This window comes from Homo sapiens, chromosome 10 (genome assembly GCF_000001405.40).
Source record: "Homo sapiens chromosome 10, GRCh38.p14 Primary Assembly".
Taxonomy (NCBI): Eukaryota; Metazoa; Chordata; class Mammalia; order Primates; family Hominidae; genus Homo; species Homo sapiens.
In genome coordinates this window covers 10,525,832-10,540,555 of record NC_000010.11, presented here as the reverse complement: position 1 = coordinate 10,540,555, position 14,724 = coordinate 10,525,832, and the positions used below count along the sequence as shown (strand labels likewise).

Below are 14,724 nucleotides of genomic sequence, written 5' to 3'. Positions count from 1 at the left end.
AGTCATGAACCACCGTATGGGGAGCTAGGTCTCCTGGAGCTTAAAAATTAAAAAAGCCTGCTTGCTCTGTGAAAAGGCAAAGCCAGCTTAGATGTTTCTACTGGAACGTAGGCTAGCCAGGAGATTTTTCTTGATGACTGTTGCAATAGCCCCCAAAGCAAAAGGTTCCTGAGAGGATCTTCATTTTGGAGCCTGGAACCCAGGACTGTGTGCATGAGATAAGGGTAATGAGGGTGCTAGGAGCCAGGGAGCTGTGTTTCATGCTCAGTCGAACCTGTTCCTTGGGTTTTTAGTCTGTGAGTGGATGGCTGATGCTGCGTGCTGACATGCATCTTTCCAGACTTTGCAATAAAACAACTGGGACTGTGACACTGTTAAAACTTCACTTTGAAGTCCCTTTTCATCTGAGGAAGGCTGTCCCCAGCAAGAGAAGGTACAAGCTTCTTCCAATCAACTCAAAATTAAGACACTGGAGTGAGAGGAGTTTTTAGCTGCCTCAAGTATTTTCTTGGAAAGAGCTGGGGTTTAAAAAATAAGGGAGCCAGCAAAGTCCAATTCTCCCTTTACCTCGATGGAAATAATTTGTTCCCGAAGATTCACTAGAACTACCCCTGGCAGTCTTCCCTGAGCACCCAAGGGAAAAAGAAATAAAAATCTAGAAAAGATGCCCTATGCCACCTGGCTTATCGTCTTACTTTCTGCTTCAGGTAGCCAAGTCATTTACTTTGAAAGCCTCTGTAACTGAACATGTGTATTTCCTGTGCTATTTCAAATGTGTTCTATTATGTCTTGGCCTTTTTCACTGATGGACTTTGCACATAGTCCTAATACCTGGTGGTACAATTTCCAAGTGGGAGGCGTTCTCAGTGCAAGCTGAGTAAAAGCAGTGGCAATATCGTTTAGGAATAAATGTAATCTCAAGAGTTGGAGTTTTAGAGTTTTCTGTTTGGCTTCAGAACCCAAGTATCACAGGACCCTGGTTCAGGGAATATGGCCTTCTCTGCCTTACTTTTGCCATCTGTATAGTGGGATGAGCTGCATTACTGATGGGTGAAAATCTAATGGGCAAATAAACTCCTAAAGTAGCACAGAGGTGGGGGTGGGGTGGCGGTGGGGTTGAGGGCTGGTTCTTTGCAAGCCTTTGAGATTCTCCCTAAGTTTAATTAAGCAAAAGGCCAATCCCCAAAAGTCTCAGGGCAAAAACAAAACAGTTGTAAAAACAAAACAGTTTTCTCTAATGGTGACAGGCAAACATTGTGCTAAGTCCTCCGACCTAAATTATCCCTTTTGCTACTTACTGAAAGCCCATAGAATATGTATTGCTACTTTTTCTTTGTATAGATGAGAAAATAAGTCTCAGATGACAAAACCATCTCTAAATCTCATAGCTACTCTATAACTCTTAAGATCTGTACTCTTAACCAGTTCATCAGTGATTCTCAAGAATTACTTTAGGGCTGATGCCCAGAAGACTAGATTGTGGATCAGAAATCAGCATTTCATAAAGCATCTGGATGTTTCTTCTGTGGGCAGCCATCTGACGACTAAGAAGTTTTGAGCTGTATTACTTTTCACTTTCCTGCTCTTTACTACATACATTTATGTCCTACTTCCCTCTTAAGAGAATTGCGGGAAAATTAAACAAAGGATGACACTCAAACAAAAAGATAAAGAAAAAATGCTAACGAAAATCAGAACTAGTAAGGAGGGCAAGAGAAAAACGTGGTTCCTTCCAGCTCATAAGACCATGTGGGTGTAACAAAGAACAGTCACATATAGTCAGTACGGTGGCCTCCTTTCCTTGATGTTTCTCCTTTCCTTCAGTAATTTCTCCATGCTCATAATGGTTCCAACGTTATTCCAGTCTCAATACCAAACTGCTACCCATCTCATATTCTGTAGTATGTTTGGGGCTGGAAATTTGATAGCTGACCATGCTAAGAATAGGGTGGGTTGTTTGGGCAGGGGATAGGGGTGGGAGGACACACAAGGCTGACACCAGGAGACTCTAGGGACAGATAATGGCTTAAAGCCAGGAGAGCAGACAGAGAGGGAGCTGCAGGAGATTTAACCAGAGACACTTGAGATCAAGCATAGGGAGTGGCAAAGATTCAAGAGCCTGGTCAGCAGGTGCACTGTGTAGCCTCTACTTGGCCCTCTCAATCCACTGTCCACCCTTCTGCATCTCTCTCTGAGACCAGGAGGCTGAGCTCCATTGAATGCAGCACTGGGGCTCTCTTGCCCTATGGTTTCCAGTTGAGTTCAGCCAATGGCAGATGCTGGCAGACCAGAGGGAGGCAGGAAGGAGACATGGGGGCGGTCATTGTCAGCTCATCTTCCAACTTGGCAAATGGGGACTGGCAGTGGTAGTACCCTGCTACTGAAGGACATGGCCTTTGTCAGGGCACCCCTACTAGCAACAACTCTCAGGATGCTCTGGTGACCACTGCCTTCCCCTTTATGCCTGAGGGTGACAGTGGCTGCTGCACTGCCTCTAGGGCTTGTGCTTTGGGTGGGCTCTGCTTTTCCCCTTTTGCCCATAACCCTCCTCATTCCATGAAGAGCCCTTGGGGACAAGGGCTCATCGCACTTGGACTGTATGCACTGCACCCTTCCTAATCAGGCTCCCGCGGCCACGGACCCCCCAAGTCTTCTGCCCAAATGGCTCCAAGCCTACTTGCAGGTTCTGTCAGGTCTGTCTTTTCCCTGGGTCGATTATGCACCTGTAATGTTTTCAGTCATAGGCTTAAGGGGTAAGAAAATGTCAGTTGTTCATGGGGGTTGGGATCTGAGCTAGGATACATGAGCTGGGTTATCTAGACTCATGTGAGACCCACTCATGGGGTGGTACAGAGCTGGAGGTGGTACAGAGCGTGAGGGTGTGGGCCAGTGGCTGAGTGGCAAGGATGGCTGGTTCTCCTGACACCAAAAACTTCCAGGATCACCCCAAGGAGTCCTAGTATTCCAAATTCGAAGCAAGCCTCCAGGTCGTTATGAAGTATTTTTTAAGGTAAGTGGATGAAATGTACTTCATTTCACAGTTTTCTTAACTTATAACTTTTAAATAGATGGACCTATGGTAGGTGGCTCTCCATTTGGGCTCCTGCCCTGGGGCCCAACAAATGCTAGAAACAGGCCTGAGGATACTCCCCCATCCCCTATCCCATGGTTTATATCCTTGGATTCTTCACATTGTTGAAGTTTCCCTTAATGTTGTCCCCAGTTTTCTAAATATTCCTGGGCCGGTTATAAAGCTACTGACTGTCAGCTTCAAAACTCACCCTCTTATCCATCTCTTGGCATTTCTGGGGCTGGTTTCTATCTTTGCATGGCCAACGAGCTCTTGGTTAAGAGCTAAGTCTCAAGTCTCTTAAGAGCTAAGTCTTGTGTCTCCTTCCATGCTAGAAGGAGACTTCCAGGCTGGAGGAAGAGGAGGCTTCCTCCCTCTTGTTTGCCTCTTGTTCCTATGTGCATCATGGCAGCTTACCATTTTACTCCGGCAGTGGCATTTTGTTGAAGCAGCAGCAGCAGCAGCAGCAGCAAGTGAATCCAGCTTGTCCAATTTGCTGTTTGTTTTCCAAAACTTTCAAAACAAGCCTCCTCTTGCCCCAGCAACACTAGCCAGTGGAGCCCCCTCCTCAGAGGTCTGCTTCTTGTCCACAAGATCCCATCTGTCATCTTCTGCATTTTAATAATCCCAACTGATGCCCGTAGTTCCTCCAGCCCGAGCTGCTTCATGCAGCTCATTTGTCTTCTGTGATTATTAAGAATTCATCCTTACCCTTTCAGTTACCCAGTAAATACTTCCTTGTATTAAATTCTCTCTGTTAAAATAACTGGTGTTTTTCTGTCCCTGTCGGCACCCTCATCAAACTCTTTTCACAGACCCTGCTTCATGGTGACATCTGTTACCTGTTGGGACACTTGCTGACATTCTGGGCCAAGAGTCAAACCAGAAACCCTGTTTGGGGTCACAGTTAAATACAACTATAAGGTCTAGAGTTGCCAGCCACAAAATGGACATACTTCATCAGTGTCTTGAGATTCGTTCAATTCTCCTCCGTGAGGAACACTTCACTTAAAGAAGGAATATTTGCTGACAGAGCACCTGCCATTTCAAAATAGACCAAAAGCATTAGGGGTATTTATGTGACCAGTGTTTTTATTTATATCAAACTGTGTTTGTGGAAAGTACATCAAGTAACAATGCAAATTACTCCAATAAGATTCCAAAAGCTGTCTGGGCATGGTGGCTCATGCCTGTAATCCCAACACATTGGGAGGCCAAGGTGGGCAGATCACAAGGTCAGGAGATCGAGACCATCCTGACCAACATGATGAAACCCCATCTCTACTAAAAATACAAAAATTAGCCAGACATGGTGGCATGTGCCTGTAGTCTCAGCTACTCAGGAGGCTGAGGCAGTAGAATCGCTTGAACTCGGGAGGCGGAGGTTGCAATGAGTCGAGATCGCACCACTGCACTACAGCCTGGCGACAGAGCAAGACTCTGTCTCAAAAAAAAAAAAAAAATCCAAAAGCTTTCTTGAAGCCCCCACCCCTATGAACACTGGCAAAATGCTTATGCTACCACTAGTTACAGCCCAGTCCCATTGAATCATGGCTATTTATCCCACAGGTTTGCTCACTTTATGTGGTGTAAAGTCTAAAATTATGGCTCATCATTATGTAACACCTTGATATTTAGTAAACCAGGAGGGCCTCTAATGGTCTGACCACAAATTCCCTCCCCATTCTGCTCCTGTGGATAAGGTCCCCCAAGCCAAATGTTCGTTTTTGTTGTTGTTGTTTTTGTTTTTGTTTGTTTGTTTTTGGAGACAAAGAGTCTCACTCTGTCGCCCAGGCTGGAGTGCAGTGGCGCTATCTCGGCTCACTGCAGCCTCCGCCTCCAGGGTTCAAGCGATTCTCGGCCTCAGCCTCCTGAGTAGCTAGGATTACAGGCGCCCGCCACCATGCCCAGCTAATTTTTTTGTATTTTTAGTAGAGATGGGGTTTCACCATCTTGGCCAGGGTGGTCTTGAACTCCTGACCTCATGATCCACCCACCTTGGCCTCCCAAAGTGCTGGGATTACAGGTGTGAGCCACCGCACCCGGTCCAAACCTTCCTAATCGAAGGGACAAGGTACGGTTCCTGCTCACCCAAGTGGTGGGTTTCAGTTCTCTGCTGAACTGTGGGATTATCCCAACAAGCCAATCACAGCCTGCTATGGGAACCAGAGGGCATCTCACCCTTTTGATACTACACGTTCTGACTTCCACAGCTGTAGGTGTTCATCCTGTTCCCAAGTGCAATCATGCTGTGTGGTCCTGTGTACTCTGACACTCTCTCCTCTCCCAGTCTCTGAGTCCATGAGACTCATCAAGTGCTGTTGATTTCATCTGCCAGTATTGGGTATTGAGTGCTTCAACTTCTCTAACACTCTGGGGAAGGGGTTCCTGTCTTTCCAATGTGGTAAATAGAGGTGATTAAAACAGGAGGTAAACTAAGATCCCTCCATACATATACTAAGGCTGATGTAATGGGATTTTAATGACAGAAAATTCATTTTTTTCTTTACTTGAAGTAAAGTTATGTGGTATTAATCTAATTAGTTCATTATATTTGCATAGACAGATTTAACATTATCCTGTTTGTAAAGAAGATCCTTAAAGGTCTCTTCAAGTATTAAATAGTCTACTTTATGCCTAATCCTACTAGGGAAAGGGATTAAGCTGCTTCCTTTTTCAAAGTGCATCAATTCTTTTAGACCATAATAATATATCAGGGTGACCTCTTGATTCATTCTAAGAAATACCTCAGTGGCCTGAAGTTAACTATTTCTTAAAAGTGAATCCATTCTTTTCTTCTCCAAGATAGGATTTTACTTGATATCTCATAAGTGGGGGAAGACAGGCGTAGAACTACAGATAAGTGAGGAAAGAGAAATTGAGTTGGAGCATGAGGTCCATATTTTCAATTTAGTAAGCCATCATAAGATTTATCTGTATCTCCCTTTATCCTTTCTCCCTCTGGCTCAGAGGAAGAAGATTCTGTCTTTTCAAGGTTAACCCAACTCTGTGTGTTCCACATCTTATTCCTCCTAGGTTCCTCGGAAACTCGCTCTATCAATTTCTTTCTCTCTCTGCCCTCTTTGTCCCTATCAGCAAACATACTCCGGTCTCCCCACTTTCAAAGATGTTCTCTGAGTTGCCTCAAATTATTTTGCTATTTTCACCTCTCCTTTTACCCTAAACTTCTTTTAAGTGTTTTTTCTTTACTTAGTGCCTGCTTTTTCCTTTCTCTGTCTCTCTCTTTTTCTTTTTCTTTTTTTTTTTTTTTAACAACTCCTCACCTCTTCGAATCTGGCTTCTGTCTCTGCCATTTTACTGAGAATGTTCCTGAAGAGTCAAATACAGTTGCCTTTTATTTTTTTCCAGTCCTTATCTTTTTTGATTACTCTCAAGCTTTTGATTTTGTGGTCTATTTTCTCCTATTCAAAATACCCTGTGACAGGGTAATGTTTTAATTTTCTTCCTATTTCCAGGTTTTCCTTTCTTGGTTTCTTTTATTGCTGATTGATCTTTAAGTTTTTCAAGAATTTACTTAGAGGTATTTTGTTTTCTTCATACTCTCTTCTTCAGTGATCTCATTTAATTTCAGAAATTCAAATATTATCCGCCAGTGACTTCCAAGTAGATATCTGTGTGCCTCAGCTCTCTCCTGGACTCCAATTCTCTACTACTTGCCGTCAATCTTTTCCTGGATGGCCCATTAGCATCTCAGATTCAACATACTTTGACCTTAACTTATTGTTTCCCCAAAGAGATCTCCTTGTCTGGACAAAGCCTTTGTCCATTTTCTCTGATTCTTTCTTCCTAATGTGCGAGGATTCCTTCTCTGTCAAAGTGATTAAGCCATTCGCCCAAGGGCATACAGACAGCTGCAAAGTCCAGATTCAAACTGGAGTTTCTCTGACTCATACACTGGGCTTTTCCCTCTGTAAGTTACTCTGAGGTAAAGAGATTCAACAAGATGTAGTTTTAGCTCTTGAAAGTCCTACAATAAAGTTCAGGAGGCAGTTTTGTAAAAAATTAATGACCCATAATAGGTATTTAAAAACTATTAGTGTACCTTCCTATGTCTCCATAATGATCATTAAAAGTTTGTATCACAATTTTAAGAAAATTGTACTCTCGTTCTTCTAAAATGTATATGCTCTGAATATTGGACTCTATGCTCCTCCCCTTGACCCTTAAAAATCATCTTCATTAAAAGACAAAACAAACTCTGTTTAATCAACATTTATAGGTAAAATAAGAAGTGATGACTTGAAATCAAAACACATCTCTGTATTTAAGCCCATACTGTAAATCATACTCTCCACATTGAAATGTACTCTAATTAATTTCAGGTGTTTACAGCTATATTATGGTAAGTTGTCATGGTTTTGAACAAGTGAGCATAATTTAGCCATCTGCACTATTTCTTCTCAGTTACAAACCCAGCATTCTGAAATAAGATGGATTTAAATTTGCAGAGACAGCACTCAGAGAAAGCACGAAGCCAGAAATGCTAAGTTCATGAAAATTCCCATCAACCCAACTCTCCCGCCAATATTTGCAAGATGTCTTCTTGAGTGGGGTTGCTCTCTATTTTTTTTTTTTTTTGAGATTTTGTCTCTTTGAGAAGAGGATAGCTTCATCTTTAATTTTTTTTCTCTTGTATCATTTTAGCATTTAATCTTCCAGTGATAAACCAAGGTAGCTTAGAAGGCTCCCTGGTCTCTAGTGAATAAATTAACATTCCTTTTGAAATACAAAGATAAATACCTAAAAGAGATACAAAATTTGGAAGCAGTTAATGATCCTCATTTAACAAGTGATATCTAAGACTGACCTTAGAGTTGGCTGTATCCTATTTAGATATTAAGACTATAGGAACTGGAGCAAGGCTGTGATATTATTTAACTAACGTTCTGCTGCTCTCAATGTAAGATTATATAATCACAGAAAACTTTATCACAATACACTTTGCCTTCCTCCCTTAACTTGTGACTTCCACTTAAACTCTTAGGGTTCCAACTGTGCAAATGAAAGTGCTGCTTTGGTAACAGCTTGTTGAGAGAACTCCATGTTTCCCAGGAATGTACTTGAAGAAGATTAATGAGTTCTACATATATGCCAAGTCAATCTGTTCCTCCCTGTCAATCATCATCCCAGCAACAAGCATCTGAATCTCTGCTGATATGTTTTCAAACAGATGTGTGGCTTAAATTTTAATTAAATCTTGGGAACAAATGATTACTAAAAACTTTCCAAATTTGTGGCCAAGGAGTTTTACAGTAGCGTCAAATGAATTTTGTTGAGTAGACTTTGTCCACTTGAGCACTTCTCAAACCCAATGGTAACAGAAAGGGTTGCAAAGATGTTGCCTGTCTTTTGAAAGAACTTGAGTACCTTTCACCACATTGCCGTTAGGCAAATATGGAATACTTGAGGCTTAAAATTCTGTGTACTTTCCTCACTCTCAGCCACCTTTGTTTAAGGCTGTCTGAGCACCCAGTCAATCCTCTACTTATTGTTTTTCTCGTAAGGTAGAGTCAATATAGCCATTAATGCACCTGTAATACCATGAGAGGGACTGGAGCACCAGGACAGGCCAGGGCCTGTTCCCAACACCATTTGCTCCTGTCTGTGGGACCACAGAGTGCTGACTATCATCAGGATTGATATTGCCTTTTATTTCTAAAAATGATGAGTTTCCAATTAAACAATCTCTAAAAGTTTACTTTAGTAGAGATGATTAATTCTGATTCAAAATTTATCAAACAGAAGTGAGAAGAGAAATTGAACTTGTAGACTTTACCATCAACCTCTTCCTCCCGCAGAATTCACACACAGATCAGGATGCTAAGTGAAGAGTGCACCTGGCTTAGGAAGTACCTCATGACCTGGGTAGAGCGGCTCAGTGTGGGAGATAAAGGAGGGGCTGGTGTTGGAGTCCAAAGAGACTGATTCAGAATAGGATGTGAAGTCAGGAACTGGAGGATATGGTCAGGTATCCCAGTCTCATAACATTATTTTCCCTTCATAGAACTGTTTGTCCTATGAACGATTTAATAAAATCATTGGTTATTTTATTATCATAAGGATACTACAAGACCTTGGTCAAGTTACTCAATTTTGTTTTAGAGCGTGATTAAAATCACCTGGGGGCTGCTGTTACAATACAGATTTCTCAAACCTAATCTACTACATCCAGAGTTCAATCAAGTTACCTGTATCTTAAAAAATGTCTGAACTTGTTTCTGACGTAGGTGTTCCCCAGGGCCCACTTGAGAAACTGTGGTTTTAAAGGAATATCAGTTTAGACTGGGATGATGTGTGACCACAAGCGGATGCCAATTCAAATGTATTTCTTTCGAAGATGTGGCTAGTATATTTTGGAAAGATCTAGTGTTGACATCAAGCATTGATTTTTAGCTTGCTGGTACTGTAACAGGGTGAAAGCACAGAGAGACACAACCATGATTTTATGTGCTAATATCAGCAGAAAACTACCACTTGACCATCATCTTAATTAGCTGTTTTGCATTATAAATACTACGAGCAGTCACCAGCTGCAGGTGTATGTCCACCCTCTGGTTTACGCCTATGTAATTTGAAGACACGGCATTAAAAAGACCATTCTATTCTGCATCTAAAATTTAAAAAGTACCAAATTGACACTGAAAATAATTTTTAAGAAGAATTAGTGAAGAGCATGACATATTGGCCACTTCAGAAATCTTTCTTCTTTCAATGGACCCATCTCAGCACTCACTGTTTTTAAACACCTTTGTAGGTAACCAGGTATCAATACGTGATAGTTTTATGTTAACTCAGAATAATTTCCGCAAAAGAGGAAAGAGCAAAGAGGGCTTTCAGACACCCAGAGGAAGAGTCCTTGGATTGTATGTGTATATTTGTGTCAGAGGCATTCAAACCAGAGCAACTCCATCTTGGGTGAGGCCTACAAAAATGAGGCTGAGACTTGCTGGGCTGTGTTCCCAGAAAGTTAGGCATTCCTAGCTTCTAGATGTTTATGGTTAAGGGAACAGATTGATAACGTTTACTAAACAGACCCAGACTTGGGAGTGTCCTAATATTTCAGTATCTTGACAACAAAAACATTCCTAATTTTGCTTTAAAAATAATATTTATTCTTGCAAACTATAGTAATTAAGAAATTAATCCTTTATCACAAACCCTTGTAGCAGAGCACATCTCCTCACAATCTTTTTATCCTGTATAAAAACAAGCATCGTACCTAGGGTGGACTCATTCCTCCTCTTACTTTTGGGAACGTCCTACTCTGTCTATGGAGAGGCTGTTCTTTCATCACTTTACTTGCTTAATAACCTTCCTTCTGCTTTGCACTGCAGACTAGCCCTGAATTCTTTCTTGCATGAGATCCAAGAACCCTCTTTTGGGGTCTGGATCGGAACCCCTTTCCTGTAACATTTGTGTGTGAAGGGGAATGGTGAGTGGGGAAAATCAATGAGTACACCTCTCATCTCCCATCTGGGCATCAGAGCAACTGCAGAAACTGTTCAGCTTCTACAAGCCTTGGGCATTCTCTTGAGAACAAAGGAACGTTCTTAAATTCTTGCTAAGCCACAGCCTAAAGATGGTGGCACTGCCTTGGAGTCTGTTCATAGCCACTGATGTGGATTCTGGGGTAGAACATCTTTGTCATCCTTATTATACCAAAATTATTTAGTGTTCTGACTGAGGCAGGGTTAGGCTTCATTTTCCCTTAGCAAATAATTCACTAATCTTTAAGATTGCTTCACACTCACCATTTTTTTTTTTTTTTTTTTTTTTTTTTTGAGATGGAGTCTTGCTGTCTCACCCAGGCTGGGGTGTAGTGGCACAATCTCGGCTCACTGCAACCTCCGCCTTCCGAGTTCAAGTAATTCTCCTGCCTCAGCCTCCTGAGTAGCTGGGATTACAGACGCGCACCACCACACCCACCTAATTTTTGTATTTTTAGTAGAGGTGGGGTTCCCCATGTTGGCCAGGCTGGTCTTGAACTCCTAACTTCATGATCCGCCCACGTTGGCCTCCCATAGTGCTGGGATTATAGGTGTGAGCCACTGTGCCCTGCCAACACACTCACCTTCTTTCTACCCCAGCAATCTGTGTCTTTTGTTCTTTATGTCTTCCAGCTTATTATCATCTACTCCCAGAAAGCTTGGAGAATTTTCTCATTCCTTCCTGCTGCATGACAGCTGCTTAAGAGTTTATTAGCCAAATACTGGTGTGGGAAGAGTGACAGAATCTCCATCCACTAAAAAGAACACACTAGGCTCCTCTGAATTTTACAGAGCAGAAATACAGGCCGTGTCTGCATTGCTAGACTCTGCCCAGGAGAGTGATATGAACTACATTTGCTATAATGCTAATTTAAATTGCCATTAATGAGCATACATATTTAAATTGTAGACTAGGAAGTACTATTGTATATCTAGCTTATTTCTATCCTGCTCAGGCTGATAAGACACTCTCCAGACAACTGTAATTATGGGTCATTTGTAGAAAATAAGAGCTGCTTTTTACATAGCGGAAATAAAAATCAATTCTTCATTCAATTACCATTCTTGGCTGTGCTATGATAGCTACTCCTGGTAAATAATCGCGTCAAAATAAAACCAATATTAATAATGATAAAGTTTTAGAGGACAAATTCTTCCTTTGAAGATCAAAATAAACTTTTTTCTTTAAGTCCCTTCCATAACAATGAGTCATGAGTGAATTATCTGCATTCTCCTTTCACTTATTTGGTGATAAAAGATCTTAAAGAAGTATTGCTGCATGCAATGACACAACACCACTTCTGCAGGATGAGCGGTCATAGAAAAGATCACCACTCAGTAAATGCAAGAGGAAGAATCACCAAGTGTGGGCTGGGGATCTGTTGAGCAAAGAGGCAGGCCAGCACTACAGGCAGACTCTTAAGTGGGGTGCATGCTCACCTCTGTGGTCTTCAGCTAATTTAGGGGGAGTAGATTAACATATTAATGTCTTAGGTTCAAGAAGCAGTTCTCTAAGCTTGAGACTTCCCTCTTGTTATGTAGGTGCTGTTTGTTTTGCAGGAAGCCTTCCACAATAGCATTAAATGTCAACAGCAACCAGCCTACAGGGTCATGGTGAAGAAGGCCAAGGTGTCTGCAGCTCCAGGATCCCCTTTCTCAGCCCACACTCACCTTCTTTCTGCCCTCCCAGCAATCTGTGCCTTTTGTTCTTTATGGCTTCCAGCTTATTATCATCTACTCCCAGAAAGCTTGGAGAATTTACTTATTCCTTTCTGCTGTATTAACTTTATGACAATCACACACACACACACACACACAAAACAGGAATCTATCTTCAGCTGTGGAAATTCAGGCATCTGTAAATTGAAAGCACATCTGGCGAGCTGGTTTGGTTAAGAATGTTGCAGGATGAGTTAGACATCTGCAGGCCTGGGCTCTTATCTGAGGGTAGGTCATTTAACTGTGTGATCTTGGGTAGGTCATTTAAACGCTCTGAGGACTGAATGAAGTAATGTGTGGAAAAGCCCTTTCAAAATGAAATGAAAAAGCTCTGTGTAAATGTCAATGAATCTGCTAGTTTCCCTGAGATGAAAGCTTACTTGAGTTAGAATTATACACAGTGTCAGTCTCTTAGGATTGCATCTAGACAGTCCCTCACTAAAGCTTGGCCCTGTGTATGTGCTTTTCTTCCAAAGGTGTCAAAGCCCCAGAGGAGAACAACTATGTAAGCAACAGTATTTTCTTCCGCATAAAGAACTGTTGTCACCTATTGGAGGCAATGACTGGTTCTTCAATCACTGCTAGAGATGGCTTGGAGTCTCCAGTGTATCCTCTAAGGTCCAGGCCATATTATAATAAGGTAAAGACCTCTGCCTGAAATTCAAGCATCACTTAGAAAAAACTCAAGTACTGGATTGATTTGGAAGAGTCAAATATATTCCATGGTGTATGTTATCTTTAAATGGAACCCCGTGATTATTAATACTTTTATTTTTAAACTCTATAGCCTGGTTACTTTTTTTTTTTTTTTTGAGACAGAGTTTTGCTCTGTCGTCTAGGCTGGAAAGCAGTGGCATGAACTTAGCTCACTGCAACCTCTACCTCCCAGGTTCAAGCATGATTCTCCTGCCTCAGCCTCCTGAGTAGCTTGGACTACAGGCGCATGCCACCATGCCCAATTAATTTTTTTTGTATTTTTAGTAGAGATGGGGTTTCGTCATGTTGGCCAGGCTGGTTTTGAACTCCTGGCCTCAAGTTATCCACCCGCCTCGGCCTCCCAAAGTGCTGGGATAACAGGCGTGAGCCACTGCACAGAGCCAGCATGGTTAATTAAGAGCAGGTCAGCTCCACGGCCTCAAACAGGGTGTGACATCATTGGAGTACTGCAGTGGTGAAAGAAGATCAACCGAATATTAACCCTTTTTCATGTGTTTATGCAAAAAAACACATCTGGATTGTTTTCACTTGTAATGAAACCATAACATTTTGCCTGAGCAGCTCAAACTGCTGCTGCTGATTTATAAACAACTGTGGTGCAAGTTTAATGCAGCCTCTTGTGGTCCAAGGGTAGGACTTCCTTCTTTGCTTAGGTGTCCAGAAGTCCAGCTCTGAGTGGTTGTTCAGCCTGTGACCTCCAGGGAGAGAAGGAACAACGTTCTGTAGAAAGGACCCAGCCATTTTAAGTGCCATTAGATACAGAAATCAATGCTGTCTTCTCTATGATATTCCTTTTGTAGCACTTTTTGAAGATCATCCATTTGTGTATTCAACAAACATTTGTTGAGTGAAAAAGAGTTGGAAGTGACAGAGGTTGGAGTTGGTGGGTGATGAGCTCAGAATGGGCATGAGGTGGACTTTGAGATGCCTGTTGGCTGTTGACTTGAGAAGTCCAGGAGGGAGTTGAATTTACATGTCTAGACCTAAGGGCTAGTTTACAGCCATCAGTACCTGATGCGTATAAGGTCACCCAGGCAGGTTATGGGGAGTGGCAAAGGAAGACAAAGGGAAGCATATTAAATGACAACAATTAAAGGTGTCTGGAACAAGCTGAGTAGTCACCAGAAAGGTGAGAAAGCCAGTCCCTCCCACTCTTTTGTAACATTCCTTGTGATGTTACTCTGTGTGACTTTATCTGAAGTTTTAATTCTAGAAAAGAGATCTTCAGGGAAATGTTTATGCAATAAATCCATAATTTTTTATTAGAACATTGTTTTTCATGTGACAGCCTATTATTTTTGATTCTATAATATCTTTGCAGTGATAGTTTGAGCAGAAAAGCATAGATACTTGGTTGAAAACCAGAATAAAAATCTAACAGGTCTATTGAGCTAGTGTTTTTAACTTTCTAAAAGAGCTAAGCAACTTAGAAATACATCAACATCTATATGTGAAAAAACATGCCAGCATCACTAATCATCAGGGAGATGCAAATTAAAACCACAATGAGCTATCACCTCGCACCCGTTAGAATGGCTTTAATCAGAAAGACAACACACGTTGGCAGAATGTAGAATCAAGAGAGCCATTGTATATGGTTGGTGGGGATGTAAACTAGTACAGCCATTATGGAAAACAGGATGGAAGTTTGTCAAAAAATTAAAAATAGAGCTATCATATGATCCAGTATGATCCACCACTGGGTATATA

The 14,724-nt window shown here is 41.7% G+C and overlaps 1 protein-coding gene across 9 annotated transcripts in view, besides 1 other annotated feature; it reads right to left on the bottom strand.

Annotated features, from left to right (window-relative positions):
• CELF2 (CUGBP Elav-like family member 2) overlaps positions 1-14,724 on the bottom strand; it is an 874,126-nt gene that overhangs the window by 796,120 nt on the left and 63,282 nt on the right. The window lies entirely within an intron of this gene.
• Positions 11,889-12,390: an enhancer, noted in NCBI's record as "NANOG hESC enhancer chr10:10570129-10570630 (GRCh37/hg19 assembly coordinates)". NCBI's record gives its function as "activates a minimal SCP1, AML or CMV promoter by ChIP-STARR-seq in naive H9 embryonic stem cells {active_cell/tissue: H9 hESC(naive)}" and the evidence as "EXISTENCE:reporter gene assay evidence [ECO:0000049][PMID:30033119]".